This window comes from Homo sapiens, chromosome 10 (assembly GCF_000001405.40).
Source record: "Homo sapiens chromosome 10, GRCh38.p14 Primary Assembly".
NCBI classification, from domain to species: domain Eukaryota; kingdom Metazoa; phylum Chordata; class Mammalia; order Primates; family Hominidae; genus Homo; species Homo sapiens.
Genome location: NC_000010.11, coordinates 84,324,786 through 84,342,292, shown reverse-complemented (window position 1 = coordinate 84,342,292; position 17,507 = coordinate 84,324,786). Strand labels below are relative to the sequence as shown.

Sequence of the window (17,507 nt, the reverse complement as noted above, 5' to 3'; positions counted from 1 at the left end):
TGATATGATATCATATCCCATACACATTTGGTCTCTGCCCCTGGTTCCTGACACATAGCTCCTAAAACCCATGGAATCTCCAGAGTGATGAGTGTCTTTTGTATGCTAATGAGGACTGCTAGCTGGGGAGCCCTAGTTAACCTCAGGATGGAAGCTGGTTACCAGAAAGACCAGAGCATGAGTACAGGTTGGGACTTTTCAGCCCCATCCCCCAACCTCCAGGGGGGGGAAGGGGACTGAAGGCTGAGTTGATCACCAATGGCCAATGATGTAATCAATCATACCTATGTAATAAAACCTCCACAAAAGGCCAAAAGGACAGGGTTCAGAGAGCTGAATACGTGGAGATATCTGGAGAGTGGTACACCCAGAGAGGACAGAGAAGCTCCATGCCCCTTTCCATGACCTACCCTATTCATCTCTTCCATCTGGCTGTTCATCTATATTTCTTAAAATATGCTGTTTAATAAATGGGCAAACATAAGTGAAGTGTTTCCCTAAGTTCTATGAGCTGCTCTAGCAAATTAACTGAACCCAAGAAGGGGGTCATGGGAACCCCAATTTATGGCTGGTCATAGACACAGGTCACAACCTGGAGCATGCATCTGAAGTGGTGGGGGGGATGGCGCCATCTTGTGGGACTGAGACCTTATCCTACAGCATTTAACACTATCTACAGGTAGACAGTGTTAGATTGGAACTAAATCATAGGGCAACCAGCTGTTCTTCACTGGAGTCTATGGTGTCAGAATTGCTTGGTGTCCAGCAAAACAATCTCCATACATTTAGTGTAAGAGGTGCTGTGTGGCCAAGTGCTATGTGGCTCACTCTTGTAATCCCAGCACTTTGAGAGGTCGAAGCAGAAGGATCACTTGAGGCTAGGAGTTTGAGACCAGCCCAGGCAAGATAGCAAAACTCCGCCTCTAAAAAAAAAAAAAAAAAAAAAAAAGAGTTACAAAGGCCAGGTGCAGTGGCTTGTGCCTGTAATTCTAACACTTTGGGAGGCCAAGGTGGGAAGATCCTAGAGGCCAGGAGTTTGAGACAAGCCTGGGCAACTTGGCAAAACCCCACCTCTACATAAAAATGTTTAAAAATTAGCTGGGCATGGTGGCACACGCTTGTAGTCCCAGCTACTCGGGAGGGCACATCACTTGAGTCCAGGAGGTTAAGGCTACAGTGACCTATAATCAAGCCACTGCACGCCAGCCTGGGTGACAGAACAAGACACTGTCTCAAAAAAAAAAAAAAAAAAAAAGTGTTACATTGAGTGGTACATGAGAGTAGGAAAAACACTGTTTTTCTTTCCTATCTTCTAATAGTGCCCTAAATATTCCACTATTACTGTATTACCATACTTATCACATTGTATCATAATCATTTGTGGACTCGGACCTTCTCTTGTTCAGCCTCTTATTACTAACACTAACAAGTCGGGAACACAGGAAGTGGCCAAAAAACGTTTGTTGAACTCAGTAACTCATCAGATGTAGAAGTAAGACCTACAGATACTACAGAGAAACCTAAATAACTTGTAAGATGGTGACAGAGAAAACACTAATGGAGAAGCCAAGAGGGGGATCAAGTTTAGGGGATGAGTGTCAGGGTAAGAGGATGGTTAAGGTCAACATCCAAATAGAGACGTCAAAGAGGAAAAAAAAAAACCAGAGAAGGAAAAAAATTCAGACAAAAATAGAGATATGGGATAGAAAATAAATCATCAACAAGTCTCATTATTTGCTCATGAAAAGAAATATTTAATAAATATGAATTTCCTAAGACTTTAGGATATGACTGTGTTTAAGAACACTATTCGAATTGCTTATGTATATTCTGTACAAATTGAATGGCGTAAATTCCCAACCAAATGGGTCAATCAAAACTGGGTCAACATTGGATAATTATTTGCTTTACTCATTCATTCAACAAAAAATTTATTGAGTGTCTATAAGTGGGGGCAAGAGAGCAACCTGTCACGAAAACAAACAGTAAAATACAGCAAATACTATAACAAAAAAACCTCATAATGTTAACAGGAACACAAGTAACAGAATATAATGAAGGACAGATGGAAGAGGCATAATGAACATATGTCTAGCAGCTTTCCTGGAAGAAGAGGCATCTATGTTGGGCTCTTAAAAAGATAAAGTGATGGCCAGGTGCAGTGGCTCACACCTGTAATCCCAGCACTTTGGGAGGCCGAGGCAGGAGGATCACCTGAGGTCAGGAATTCAAGACCAGCCTGGCCAACATAGTGAAACCCCGCCTCTGCTAAAAATATAAAAAATTAGCCGGGCGTGGTGGCATGCACCTGTAATCCCAGCTACTCGGGAAGCTGAGTCAGGAGAATTGCTTGAACCTGGGAGGCGGAGGCTGCTGTGAGCAGAGATTGTGCCTTTGCACTCCAGACTGGGCGACAAGAGTGAAACTCCGTCTCAAAAAAATAAAAAAATAAAAAAGATAAAGTGATTTAATGAGAAGGCTGAGAAGATGAATGGTATTCTACAAAAAAAGAAATAGTGGCCAGGCACGGTAGCTCATGCCTGTAATCCCAGCACTTTGGGAGGCCAAGGCGGGCATATCACCTGAGGTTGGGAGTTCGAGACCAGCCTGACCAACATGGAGAAACCTCGTCTCTACTAAAAATACAAAACCAGCCAGGCGTGGTGGCGCATGCCTGTAATCCCAGCTACTTGGGAGGCTGAGGCAGGATAATCACTTGAACCCGGGAGACAGAGGTTGCGGTGAGCCAAGATCACGCCATTGCACTCCAGCCTGGGCAACAAGAGTAAAACTCCGTCTCAAAAAATAAAAAATAAATTTAAAAAAAAAAAAAGTAATAGTATGTGCAAAAGCAGAGAGATGTCAAAGCATTTCTCATTTTCATGGAATCTCCTCTTGGAGTACTATCTGTATGCTAATAAAAAATCTGATCTTTACTCTGTAGTCCTATGGTAAGAAACATCACATGTGCATTAGAATCCCCTGGAGAGGCTGGGCACAGTGGCTCACGCCTATAATTCCAGCACTTTGGGAGGCCAAGGTGGGAAAATTGCTTGACACTAGGAGTTCAAGACCAGCCTGGCCAACACAGCAAGACACCCTAGGGAGCACTCCAGATCCCCTAAAGCATGTGCAGGCAAAAGGTAGGTAAACAGGCAAAAAAAAAAACAAAAAAAAAAGAAAAGAAAAGAAAAAATTAACTTCTGTAGAGAATAGGGAGCCACAGAAGATTTTTTTTTAGCAAAAACAGAACCTGGTCAGATCTGTGTTTCGGAAATCCAAAACTTGGGGCATGGATCAGTGGCTAAGGGAAGAAAATCTGGAGAAAGACCAATGAAGAGGGTTAAGAAGCAACTGTAATGATGCTCCAACACTAAATATTGACTACTATTTACTTAAACATAAATGAACCACGAAAAGAGGCATATAAAGTGCTATAACTGTAATATGTGCTTTCAACACAGTTTCTGAATTCATCTCAAACATCAACTCAATAATCATAAGCAGTTACAGTAAAATGAGATCAGGTACATTAGGAAAAAAAGGGGTGGTAGAGAAGAGTAGCTGTCAAAATTTCCCTGGAAAAGTTGCTCATTTGTTCTGCAATTTAACTTTTATTTTTAAAAAGGTAAAACTACCATAACAAATAGGTTGCTAAATCAAAATTTTGAAGCTACTACAAGGCAAGCACTGCACAAAACTGCAGTACAGTCCATCATGATGATGATGATGGACCTTGAGTGCACAGATGAGGATAAAGTTAATTTCATTTACGTTTCAACGACGTAGATCCTGCATTTTTTTTCTCTGTTGAAACATTTTGTTAACTACATATATTTGTATTGTGAAAGTAAAAACTTGGGACCCTAATTTCACTATGCCAAAAGAAAAAAAAGTAAGCTGGAAGCTGAGTCACAAAAGAAGCTGCTTTTCCTTTTGTTTTTTGTTGGGGTTTTTTTGGTTTGTTGTTTTTGGGGTTTTTTTTTGTTTTTTTTTTTTTTAAGTTTTTCTTTGGAGTTTCTGTCTTGTTGCCCAGGCTGGAGTGCAATGACGTGATCTCGGCTCACTGCAACCTCTGCCTCCCGGGTTCAAGCAATTCTCCTGCCTCAACTCAGCTTCCCAAGTAGCTGGGATTACAGGCATGCACCACCATGCCCGGCTAATTCTGTATTTTAGTAGAGATGGGGTTTCACCATGTTGGTCATGCTGGTCTCGAACTCCTGACCTCAGGTGATCCAACTGCCTCAGCCTCCCAAAGTACTGAGATTACAGGCTGAGCCACCGTGCCCAGCCCCCTCTCCTTTTGTTTCTAAGCTGATAGCTACAGATAAAAAGTTAAATGTGTCCACGGGTAACTACTCAGTGTTCACCTTAACAAATACATAACCAACTATTCCCCTACCTGCTCCTTTTCCTTCGCAACATGTGGATTCAGTAATGTGATAATACCCTCTCTCCTGCCCCTCCAGCCTGCTTTTTCCATTTAAATACCGAAGCCCTCAAAATCATCTTTGGAGAAAGACAGACTTGTCTCCCTGGCATGCATCCTTAACCTTGGCAAAATAAACTTCTAAATTGATTGAGACCTGTCTCAGATACTTTTTGGTTTACAGTATGTAAATAAGAATACAAAAAAAGAAGAGCATCCATCTTTTAAAAAACAATTCCTTGACTGGACATCCCCTCCAGCTACCACCCTGTTATTTAGCTTTACTTTACAGCATACTCCTTGAAGAAACTGTCTATCCCAGCAGTCTACAATTCCTTTCCTCCAATTCTCTCTTAAGCCCACTCCAATCAAGTCTTCACTTCCACCACTAAACCAGAAACAACTTGTTAAGGTCACCAATGATTTTCATATTGCTTTATCTTAGTCCTCAATCTAATAGCATCTGACACAGCTGATTACTCACTCGCTCCTTCTTACAACATTTCACTTGGCTTCACTGATACAACTCAGTCTTAATTCTCTTCCTTCTTTATAGGCGTGCGGCTTCTTGGTCTCCTCTGCTAGTTTCTCTCCCTCTGAAAACATTACAGGATCCCAAGGCTAACTTGTGGGACTTCTCCAGCCACATTCACTCCCTAAATTATTTTAATCCATTCTCGAGGCATTACATACTATCTCTCTGCTAATAACTGCAAATTTATATATCTCTAACCCAGACCTCTGCTGTGAACTGCAGACTTGTGCATACCCAGCTCTCTTCACCATATCTCCACTCAGATTACTAACTTAAAATGTCCAAAACTGAACTCGTTACTTCCCCCGCTAAAACCCTGCTTCTTCTGCGCTCTTACCCATCTCAGGAAATGTTAACTCCATTTGTCCAGTTTTTCAGGCCAAACTCAGCCCACATTCAATCCATCATTAAATTGTTGGCTCTGGCTTCAAAATGTATACAAAATGTGGGCACTTCTCCCAATCCCTGCCTAAAATCATCATCTCCCACTTAGGATTACTGCTGCGCCTGCTAAATAATCTCATTATGCGCCACCCCTACATAGCAGCTGAGAGTTCTACTTATAACAAGTCAAAACTCTGGTGGCTCCCCACCTTTTAAAAGCCAGTCTCACTGGCCTACAATGCCATATATGATCAGGCATATCCCCCCAACCCAACCCACCTCTCTGACCTCATCTACCAATCATTTCCCCTCAATGCCTGCACTGGCCTACTTGCCACTCCTAGAACAGGTCAAGCAAGCTTCAGCCACAGGATCTTTGTATTCCAGTTCTATCTTCATCAAGTACTCTCTCTCTCCTAATATCTGCATAGATCACATTCTTTCTTCAAGATCTCTGTTCAAATACTAGTTTTTATTACAGCCTTCCCTAACCACCTTAGATAAAACAGCAGCATCACCCTCACATGTTCTTTTCACCTCTTCCTGCTTTTTCTCCACAGCAATGTAATAGATGACATATTACACATATACTTATTTTCTGTATCTTGTCATTAGAATGTAAGCTCCACAAAGGCAGAAAATTTGTTTTGTTGACTGAACTATTCCTAGCAAGTGCTCGGAATACATTTCTTGAATGAATGAATGAGAAAAATCCAGACTGAGAATCTATTCTCTAAGCCAGGATTGAAGGAATTTAGAATGTAAAACATCTCAAGTCCTGGAAAAACATGACTGCAAGAAAGGCCACAACAATGGCCAAGTCTACATCTCTAGCTAGTACCAATAATAAATAAAGGTTGACAAGCCATACCATACTACTCCTAAAATGAGGAAAATATACCTGAGAAAAAATTTTAAATAAGGAAAAGAAACAAAACAAAACAGAAAGATGGCCATCCCTGCCTCCCCACCCCGAAAAGAAATATCACCTGGATGTTTCCTATAAAGTGGCCTACCAACTCTGACCAAAATATCATCAAGTCCATTCTACAGACTTAAATAGCTATTATGAATAGTCCCTGTTTTTCTAAGCTAAGATCTTCAGAGAAAATTATTATATAACTCCCAACCCTAACACTGGCTGCCAAGAGATAATGGTCAGAGAAAGCTCTCAAATTGCCCTAAAGCACTCAGGCTGCAACGAAATATCATTAATATGATGACAACAACAATTCAAAGTACCTTCTGGTATCTGTCTTGCTTCTTTGTCCCTAGCGTATTCACTAGGGCCTTCGTCATCAAAGGTTTTGCAATCTTGACATGGGGGCAGTGTTGGGGAGGAGGGTAGGCAACTCAAAAAAACAGGACTGGAATTTAATTTTGCATTTTAAAGAAAAGCAGGGCCAGTTGTGGTGGCTCACACCTGTAATCCCAGCACTTTGGGAGGTAAAAGCAGGAGGGTCATTTGAGCCCAGGAGTTTCAGCCCAGCCTGGGTAACATGGGGAGACCCTGTCTCTATGGAAAATTTTTAAAATTAGCCAGGCATGGTGGTACATGCCTGTAGTCCCAGCTACAGGTTGAGTACAGGTTGGGAAGCCAAGGCAGGAGGATAGCTAGAGCCCAGGAGGTCAAGGCTGCAGTGAGCCATGATGACACCACTGCACTCCAGCCTGGGTCCAGAGACCCTGTCTCAAAAAAAAAAAAAAAAAAAAAAAGAGAGAGAGAGAAGTAGAATGCTGGGGAACAGAAAACACTTGCTCAGATACAAGATGTCACTGGGCTTTTCAATACCAGGCACCAAAAGAGAGATCACAGAAGGACCAAAACCCTGAGATGCCCATCGTTCCTCAGCTAAAGAGCCATGCCTTGCATTTCTATTCTCACACACAGAACTCAAGATACAGGGTAGGAGACCATGCCAAAGTGAACAGCTGGGAGCAGCGATGGCAGGGAGGAGAGCAGTAACAACTACCATAACAAAGGGAAGGAAGGAGTAATCCCTCATGCTTTTTCTCTTTTCCCTTTCCCACTGTCCTTATCAAGGACAGAAACAGGGTAGATGAAAACAGGAGAAGGCAGAGAACAGAGGGTAAGGATGGCCTGAAGCAAATGGTTGTAGAAAAAAATCAATAGCAAATTCCTTTACCAAGTAACTCTTTGAAAAACAGACATATGAAGTAAGTTAGGAGCTGACCAAGAAAATTTAAAACAAGCCCCTGTCTTACGTAGCTATAAAGTACAAAGAAAACAGAGATTCTTAATTATTTGGAATAATCTGTGGCATTTTTAAGACCAACAGTCTTCAAAGATGATCCAACTATACTGAAACTAAGCTACTGATCAACTTGAAAAAATAAACAGGTAAAAAACTTCAGTGCTCATGGATCCAACCTTTAAGAATCCTCTGGCTTCCCAATGGCTCCAAACCTTAATATAATCAACCAGAAGTCTTTAAAGGTAGAGAAGTAACTCTAGGACATTCCAAACCAATCAACTCATCAGAGAAGAGCTAAAAACTCAGAAATTACATCTCACATACTATGATTGGTCAATTCACTTAAAAAGAAAGGACTGTTCTCATTGGTTGATCTCAATAGGCTGAATCACACCCCAGCATCAGCACCTGTAGCAAGCAGAAGTCAGAAGCCAAAGAGGCAGAAAGCCATCAGATACTCAGAGAAAACTTAAGTAGTCAATAACAACGGAAAGACAAGTTCACCCTATACAACCACAATCAGCTTATGACAGCAGGGCACACCAACCACAACTGTTTGTAGCCTGAGGTGGCAGCATTCTACATGCTCATGTCTGTGCTAATACTTCCCTACCCCTCTGCCTCCTCCCTGATGGCTCTTCCCCCATCCTCCCTGACAGCTGTCACATTCTAGAGCTACTCTTCCTCCACCCACTCTTTCATTTTGGTAATTTGGTGTTTCCCAGTTCAGTCTCTTGACCTTTCTGTATTATTTCATCCTATATTCACTCATTCCTCTACTCAGTCCCTATCTTTGACAAGCACACAATCCAGTGGGGGAGACAGATATGTTACTAGAATAGGTACAATACATCACAGTCAACGCTGTGAAAGAAATATAACAAAGTGCTGTGAGCACATATTCATCTGTCATTACCCCACTCAATGTCTTCCAAATCAATACACTGCCTTCCCACTCTGTTGTGTATCAGTTACTAATTCCTATATATTTCCAAAATATCCCGATCTCCACTTCCACCTCAAGGTTTAGCCTTCATTTCTCACATGAATATTTCAACCACTTCCTATTATAAACATAATTCAATATATAGCCACATTGTCACATGAGCAATCTCCCTAAAAGAGATAACATACCATATCATCCCCTTGCTTTGCAACACCTAATCTTTCCAATGTCTAAGAAATGAAGTCCAAATCCTTGGCATGGATAATAAGATAATACTTTTGAAATAGCATCTTTTAAAAGCAGGCTGACTGAGTTCCAGTTCCAATGCTTACTACCTATGTTATCCTTGGCAGGTCACAGTCTCTATATTTTCATATCCACAAAATGAGGATACTAAAAGAACCTACCTCCTAGGGTTGCTGTGAAGATTAGGTAAGAAACTCCATGCCAAGAACCAGCAAAACACCCAGCACTCAATGTTAACTATTATCCTGGGATGTCTCATCTATCTAGAATGGGAGTAACCTGCTCCCCAGTGGGAGCAGATTACTAAGGTTTCCTTTCATATATTTTAGAATGATTAGCAATAAGAGTTAAAGACAACCCTCTGGTTAATCTTGAACAGACAAAAATTTCAATTAACCAATATATTGCTGTCATAAAAATGTTAGTTTAACTAAAACTTACCATAATTTATTAAAAAACAAGTACACATTTGTATTAAAGTTAGGTTATTTTGTTTTCCTATTTAAGTTCAGAAAAAAGAATGAAAACATAATAATGTAGTTTTCTATAATATAAAATACACATAAATGAAATTTTATCTCAGTTGTATATTAACTTTCCAAATATATATACATAACAAAATGAATTCTAGAAGCTTAAGAAAATAAAAGTATGCATCAAACAGGTACATGGCATTCATTCTCAAAAAACACAATCAAAGGACAAAAATCACTGACTTTTTTCTTTTATCTTTTTTCTTTAAAATAGAGATGGGGGTCTCACTATGTTAACAGCCCAGGCTGGTCTTGAACTCCTAGGCTCAAGCGATTCTCCCGCCTCACCCTCCCAAAGTGCTGAGATTACAGGTGTGATCCACCACACCCAGCCACACTGATTTTTTAAAAAAATATATAATATAGGGATTACCCCATCTCTATTAAAAATACAAAAATTAGGCAGGCGTGGTGGCGCGTGCCTGTAGTCCCAGCTACTGGGGAGGCTGAGGCAAGAGAATCGCTTGAACCCAGGAGGCAGAGGTTGCAGTGAGCCGAGATGGCACCGCTGCACTCCAGCCTGGCAACAGAGCAAGACTCTGTCTCAAAAAAAAAAAAAAAAAAAAATATATATATATATATATATATATAAAAAAATAAATTTAATAATATAAAATCTATAAAGCCTACAATAAGAAAAAATAGATCAGAAATGTTTTTCAAGAGATTAATATATTTATGATGTTAGTGCTAATGAAAATTGGTGAGAAGATTCCAATAAATTTATGGACGATGGACAAATAAAGGAGAAAATAAAACTAGAAGAATACTGCATTTGCTTGTCTATTATGGACTATGATGTTAAACTGCAAGGAACCTTATCCTCATTTTTAAAAAACAAACTTTTAAAAGCAAAAACCTATAAAGTATGATAGAAATGGTCAACCAAACTCTACTGGAGTCTGTAAATCAATATCTTTTAGAAGTAAATCTAGTAATATTTTTCAGAATTAACAAAACCTTCATACCCTCTGACTTTGTAATACTGCTCCTGGGCCTTTAGCCCAAAGGGAAGAAGCAAAATGATAAACAGCTATATACTAACGGCATTATCTGCAAAATAGTAAACAATCTAGATGTCCAATTATTAAGAAATGACATTGTAACACTGTATAATCATCTAAAGGTATAAAAACTATAGCAAAAATAAAACATCAAATATGAAAGCAAATATTAAGCATTATGTGTATGCTTTATCATATAAAACCACTGATATGACAAGAAATAAGAAGAAAAATTAAGTTTGTTTTGATTTTTAAAATTTCTTTGACCATTGTTTGTAAGATAAAAAGCCTTTTGGAATTGGTCAGGCCCACACCACTAAGTACACATTTCAACTTTTTAGAGACAGCCACAATCATCAATTTTTTCCCCCAAAATCCTATCACATAGGAGTAAGATAGGCTCCTCTCACAGACAAGCCACACAAGTAATTTTAGCCATGCTATTAGCCAGCTGCAACCTTCTTATATTAAAATCTCATTGTACCATCAAAACTTAACTGTATGTGAGATGTCCATATGGTGATCAGAAGCCACTTGTTATGGGGCATCTGGAGAGAGCGCCCCAAGCACTGAAGTTAAAACTATCTGGCTGAGAGGAATAGTGAAGGTTAGGTTTCTCCCATATCCCCAAATGAATTATCATGTTTCTCAGCCACAAGGGTTCTAAGTCCCTAGGAGTGGCAGCCATGTATTCAAAGAGGGAGAAAGTGCAAGCAGATTTGCACTCCCTCTGAAAAACTGGCAGCTCCTTCATTTCACCCCAAAGCACCATGGAGTAGTGAAAAACACACAATGATGAGGTCAGGAGATATGAGATGTAGGTGAGCCTAAGCAATCTCAAACAAGTTGTCTTTTTAGGCTGAGTTGTTTAACCGTAAAATTTTTAAAGTTGAACCAAATAATCTGTTAATTCTTTCAAGTTCAATATTCTATTGACCCTTTTTTCAGAACACATCCAAGTCGCTCACAACTCCCATTCAAATTGTAAAACAATTAAGATTTAGAATTAGGAGACTGGGGGCAAAAGTGAAATACACAGATGGTCAAAAGACCTGGACTGTAATCCCCGCCATCCCTTTCTACCTGCGTGACTTTGCGCCTCAAAATAAAGTTGTAGGACCAATGAAGCAGCAATCTTTATTGGTCATGCCCTTTTTATTCCTGTATCATAAAATGGATTTTTTTTAACATAACTGGGGTTTCATTCCTAACCAGCCTACAATCCCAGCACTTTGGGAGGCCGAGGTGGGCGGATCACGAGGTCAGGAGTTTGAGACCAGTCTGGCCAACATACTGAAACCCGTCTCTACTAAAAAAAAATTAGCCAGGTGTGGTGGTGTGTGCCTATAATTCCAGCTACTCAGGAGGCTGAGGCAAGAGAATCGCATGAACCCAGGAAGCAGAAGTTGCAGTGAGCCGAGATGAGGCCATTGCACTCCAGCCCAGGCCACAGTGCAAGACTCTGTCTCAAAAAACACAAAAGAAACCCCAAAACCTGGTGGAGACAGACACATAAACAAATCATTAACTACCAGTTGACAAATACTAACTGGAGAGTGTACGAATCAGTTAAGACAAGAGGGATGAAATGTCTAGACAAGCCTCAGAAGTGCTACTTTCGTAAGGTCTTCAAGGGCAAGTTGTTTACTAGGTAGAGAATTCTCAACAAAGAACACTGAAAAACCACAGAGGAAGATGTCATCTTCAGAGAACTGCAACAGTCTTATATAGAGAGGGCAGGCATAATGGTAGAAGATGACACTAGAATGGAGACAAATACCGCTAATCATGAAGGACTTTGAATTTTATCGATATAGACTATGGAGAGTCACTGAAGGACTTGTAAATATGGATTCAAAGTCCCTTCCTCCAAAATAGTCAAAGGAGTTGAGTCAAAGCAACAAAAAATGCAGGTCTGAATGTGGAAAGGTAGAATTTTTACAGAATTCTTAATAGAGACTTTCGGCTTGCTTTCAGGATGGCTTCTAGTGCTTTCTTAACTATGGCTTATGCTGAAGTACGACAGTATGAATTATGGCTAAAGGGTTCAACAAAGTGTGCATTTTTAACCTGAAGATTATTTGAAGCCAATGTTGTTTAGAACACAAACGAAAACAAAAAATAACAGTAACAAGCTTTCATAAATTAAGAGAAACAGTAATAAAGTCCAAGAGGAAGAAGACTGATTTCAGGCAAACACTCAGGAATATTTACATTTTTATCACATATGGATGACGGATAAGACATGTTTTGAACCCATCTTTTGCAGGAGAGCATCTTAAGTTCCTTTTGGTTAAAGAGCAGCTGCCATCTCTAAAGTCTCTAGTCTAAAAGATGATGCTTTAAAAAAAACAACTGGCCAAATGAATAGGTTCCGTCATATTTTAATGCTCAGGAGAAAAGGAATGCTTTTCATATGGCTATTTTAAAAAGCTTAAAGCTCAATTTCTCTCTTACAGGAGTGAGCTACCAACACTCTAATCTGAGACCAGAGTCCCTGCGTCAGTCATTTCCACTCCGCTAAGGCCTTGTCTGGGAGCAGCCAGCCTCATTGGTCGGGGAGCCCACACAGATGAATATGCAATTACTGAAATGGAAACAAGCTTCGCCACCAAGGACCACCACAAAGGAGTCCCTTCATTCCTCCTTTTACTTTATCAAGAAAGTAGGTGCATTATTTAAAAATGTATGAAAATACATGTCTAAAGACAAGAGAGAAGATCTGAACCTACGGCAACGGTGTGCCCCACCAAAGTTTCACCTCAGGATGTGTTTTAGGGTGTGTCTTTCATTTAGCCCAGTAATTGAAAGAAAAAAAAAATCGAACTCATTCGGGGAGCCCCGGTACTTTCCCTATCCACCCTCACACGCAACCAGGCTCCGAAATCAGAGTGCCTCAGCCTCGCCCTGATTTCTCCTGAAAGGCGGCGGCGCCCGCGGCCCGAGGCCCCGCGCTGTCACAGCCGCAGGGAGGGCGCCCTCCGGCCTCCCGGGTCCGCGCCCGCCCCGCGTCCGGCGGCTCGCGAGGGGCTAGAGAGGCTCACCCTGGAGGCCGGGTACGGGAGGGCGACACCGCCTCAGCCCGGGAGTTCGGGCCTCCGCCCCGCCCCGGACTGCGTGCCTGGTCTTGGGCTGCCCCCGGCGCCCGCCGCGACCCCGGCCCCGGCTCTGGCCCTGAGCCCGGATCTCACCGTGCGGAGGTCGCGCTGCCTCCTCGGCCGCGGCCCAGCTGCAGGCCGCCCTGCGACCTGCGGGCCCGAGGACGGAAGGTGAGACGAAGGGCCGCCCGTCACATCCCCGCCAGCCCCGCCGCCCGAGCCGCAGCAACCAGCATCGCGTCCGCGGCCTGAGGGAGCGCCGGACTCCAAAGCCGCCGCGCCCCCTCCCTCGGCCGGCGCCCGCCCGGACTCCGCCCTCCAGGGCCGGCGCACCGCGCACGCGCAGTCCCGCCCCGCCGCGGGCCCGTGCGCAGGCGCGAGCCTCACGGGGCTACGGGGACCGCCCCCACCGCCTGATCCGGCCTCAGCCCACCTCTGGCCCCGCCCCGCCCTCACGCCAGGCTTTCCCAAGCTCCGCCTCCGCTTCGGGCCCCGCCCCCTCCACTGACCTTGCCTGGCCGCCTCCTGACTCAGGTTTTTGCTGGGCCCACGCAGTGACGCCAGTCTTGCGGCTGACCTCACCTCTAGCCGTCCCCTGGACTACATTTGCTGCTTGAGTGCGGTCAAACCTGACAGCTCCTCCTCCTGGATGTGAAAAGTGAGGAGTGGTCTGAGCATTGGGCATGACTGAACCACGCACCTGCCTACCGCATCAAAACACAGGATCTTGCTAAAGCTGAGGGGAAGGGGCACCCCAAGTGCTGATCTGGTTTTCCCTTTTTTTTTTTTTTTTTGAAACAGAGTCTCGCCCTGTCACCCAGGTTGGAGTTCGGTGGCGCTATCACAGCTCACTTGCAGCCTCCTGGGCTTAAGCGATCCTCTCGCCTCAGGCGTGTATCACCAAGCCTCCGAAATAATTACAACTAAGACCACACTAGTCAAAGTAAACTATCACAAGTTGACCCAAATACCCGGCTAATTTTTATTTTTTCTTTTTAGAGTTGGGGGAAGTGGTCTTACAGGCTAGTCTCAAACTCCTGGGCTCAAGCAATCCTCCCACCTTGGCCTCCCAAAGTGTTGGGATTACAGGCGTGAGCCACAGCTCCTGGCCAATGTGGTTTCTTTGCCAGAAACCAGGTCTTTCTTCCCTTTGGGGCTTCCATCCCCCAGAGGCCATCTCTTCCCCTCTTGTTTTTCCTCGACGCGGCCAGTCCTGCTGCTGAGAGTCCTCAGCCTGGAAGGCTTCCGGGCCTGGCCGGCTGTTTAAAGCTCTGGAGTTGCCCTTACCTGGTTGTAGACTTGCAGTTCTCTGAAATCCTCGTCGGCCCCAACAGCTCGGTTGTAATAACATTTCAGGAGAACTGCTTGAAAAATATCCAGTTCTTTCCTGTCTCCAGATCAATGATACTCAAATGGAAAAAGCAGACGGAATGCCTGATTTGTATAACCACACTTCATTTAATAATACACTTTCATATTTAGAAAATAATGTCTTTTAAATATCAATCCCTAAGATATTTAATGTATTGGACAATAATGTGTGCTTAAAATATTGACAAAGACTAGGTCTAAATGCTGTGCAATCTCTCTTTGGATTAAGTGAGATTAGAAAAGCAAACACCAGGCCGGAGGCGATGGCTCAAGCCTGTAACCCCAGCACTTTGGGAGGCCAAGGTGGGAGGATCACAAGGTCAGGAGTTCAAGACCAGGCTGGCCAATATGGTGAAATCCCGTCTCTACTAAAAATACCAACAAATTAGCCGGGCGTGGTGGCGCATTCCTGTAATCCCAGCTACTTAGGAGGCTGACGCAGGAGAATTGCTTGAACCTGGGAGGTGGAGGTTGCGGTGAGATGAGATCATGCCACTGCACTCCAGCCTGGGCGGCAGAGTGAGACTCCATCTCAAAAATAAAATAAAATAAAATAAAATGCCCAGGCCAGTTGTGGTGGCTCACGACTGTAACCTCAACACTTTGAGAGGCTGAGGCGGGAGGATCACTTGAGCCTAGGAGTTCAAGATCAGCCTGGGCAACATAGAGACCTAGTCTATTAAAAAAAAAAGAAATTAACCAGGCTTAGTGGCATATGCCTGTAGTTCCAGCTATTCAGAAGGCTGAGGCAGTAAGATTACTTAAGCCCAGGAGGTTGAGACTACAGTGAGCTGTGATCATGTCACTGCACTCCAGCCTGAGTGACAGAGCAAGACCCTGTCTCCAAAAAAAAAAAAAAAAAAAAAGAAGGCTAGGAAAAAACTTTCCCATAATGCTAATACATGTACATACTTAGCAGAATCACAATAGCATTTTAGTGTATTTTCCTAATTTTATAAGCATCCTTGATACGTTTTATTTGCTTTCAGTTAATTTTCCTGGGTCTTTTCTTTTTTTTTTGAGATGGAATCTTGCTCTGTCACCCACACTGGAGTGCAGTGGTGAGATCTGGGCTCACTGCAGCCTCCACCTCCCAGGTTCTGCGATTCTCCTGCCTCAGCCTTCCAAATAGCTGGGATTACAGGCATGTGCCACCACGCCGAGCTAATTTTTGTATTTTTAATAGAGACAGGATTTCACCATGTTGGCCAGGCTGGCCTCAAACTCTTGACCTCAAGTGATCCGCCCGCTTCGGCCTCTGCTGGGATTACAGGTGTGAGCTACCGTGCCCGGCCTGCCCTTCCTCCATCTTCAAAACCTGCAAGAGTAGTTTGAGTCCTTCCCACATTGCATCACTCTGACCTCCTCTTCTGTCTCAGTCTTCCACTTTTAAGGACACATGATTATGTTGGGTCCAACTGGATGCTCTAGAATAAGAACCTTATTTTAAGGCCAGTTGATTAACAGCCTTAATTCCATCTGCAACCTAAATTCTCCTTTTTTGGCATCCTCTTGATGTAAGAGAGAGACATTCTTTCAGGGGAAGTTTTAGGATTCCATGACAAACAGCACAATGAAACAGTTGATCCAGAGCCCCAGTAGGAGATGATTCTGGAGACCATCCAAAAACAGACAAGTTGGGTGCAGTCCCACACACCTGTAATTCCAGCTACTTGTGAGGTTGAGGCTGGAGGATTGCCTGAGGCCAGGAGTTCAAGCCCCACCTGGGCAACATAGCAAGACCCTGTCTCTAAGAAAAAAAAAAATACAACAGACAAGAATCTCTGATGAAATCTCCTGGCTAGGCATGGTGGCTCAAGCAAGAGCTTTGGGTGGCCAAGGCAGGAGGATAACTTGAGGCCAGGAGTGTGACCAGCCTGGGCAACATGGTGAGAACCCCCCATCTCTACAAAAATAAAAAATAATAAAAGTTAGCTGGATGTAGTGGTGCACACTTGTAGTTCTAGCTACTCAGGAGGCTGAGGTGGAAGAATTGCTTGAACTCAGGAGTTTGAGGCTGCAGTGAGCTATGATTGCACCACTGCACTCCAGCCTGGGCAGCAGTGAGATCCCATCTGTAAATAAATAAGATTAAAAGAGAAATCTCCCCCTTTCATCTCACAAATATTTACTGAGCATCCACAGGCACTGTTCTGGATTAAGTCATGAACAAGGACAGGAGTCAATGGGATTGATTTTCTAGAAGAAATCACCAGTTCTTCACAGAAGGCAGTCTGATGATGGGAACTCTCGGCTCCCACAATCACAGAAAGTTTTCCTTGTTGGCCCTAATTTCGAAGACTTTGCATGCCTTGATGCCTTCTGGATCTAGAATCCAGCAACAAGGAGCATCTTTACCAGTAAAAGACAGAGTATCCACAAACTGGCCTCCTGGTGAAGATGTAGAAAGCCTGCTTCTCAGCTGTGAAGATGACAAACGGGAACAAAGTAGAATGAATTCCTTCTTTTCATTCCCTAAATTGATTGGCGAGGCCCAGAAAGATGAAAAATAATGTGTTAGTCAGGGTTCTCTAGAGGGACCGAACTAATAGGATAGATGTATATATGAAAGGTTGTTTATTATGGAGTATTGACTCACACGATTGCAAGGTGAAGTCTCACAATAGGCCATCTGCAAGATGAGAAGCAAGGAAGCCAGTCCGAGTCCCAAAGCCTCAAAAGTAGGGAAGGCGACAGTGCAGCCTTCAGTCTGTGGCCAAAGGTCCAAGAGCCCCTGGCAAATCA

At 43.1% G+C, this 17,507-nt stretch overlaps 1 protein-coding gene across 12 annotated transcripts in view, besides 4 other annotated features; it reads right to left on the bottom strand.

Moving 5' to 3' along the window:
* The window catches only part of CCSER2 (coiled-coil serine rich protein 2), a 189,929-nt gene extending 176,225 nt beyond the window's left edge, over window positions 1-13,704 (bottom strand). For 11 of the 12 annotated variants that reach the window (NM_001351290.2, XM_005269905.5, NM_001351292.2 and 8 more), the window contains exon 1: window positions 13,485-13,704. The gene's annotated coding sequence lies outside the window, so the exon portion shown is untranslated. Of the gene's footprint in view, window positions 1-783; window positions 925-13,484 lie in introns of those variants that run through there. The other variant, XM_017016340.3, reaches the window with a different exon arrangement.
* Window positions 8,287-8,336: an enhancer, noted in NCBI's record as "active region_3681". NCBI's record gives its function as "activates an Ori minimal core promoter by ATAC-STARR-seq in GM12878 lymphoblastoid cells {active_cell/tissue: GM12878}" and the evidence as "EXISTENCE:reporter gene assay evidence [ECO:0000049][PMID:35858748]".
* Window positions 11,684-11,763: an enhancer, noted in NCBI's record as "active region_3680". NCBI's record gives its function as "activates an Ori minimal core promoter by ATAC-STARR-seq in GM12878 lymphoblastoid cells {active_cell/tissue: GM12878}" and the evidence as "EXISTENCE:reporter gene assay evidence [ECO:0000049][PMID:35858748]".
* Window positions 12,811-13,160: an enhancer, noted in NCBI's record as "active region_3679". NCBI's record gives its function as "activates an Ori minimal core promoter by ATAC-STARR-seq in GM12878 lymphoblastoid cells {active_cell/tissue: GM12878}" and the evidence as "EXISTENCE:reporter gene assay evidence [ECO:0000049][PMID:35858748]".
* Window positions 13,211-13,940: a silencer, noted in NCBI's record as "silent region_2554". NCBI's record gives its function as "represses an Ori minimal core promoter by ATAC-STARR-seq in GM12878 lymphoblastoid cells {active_cell/tissue: GM12878}" and the evidence as "EXISTENCE:reporter gene assay evidence [ECO:0000049][PMID:35858748]".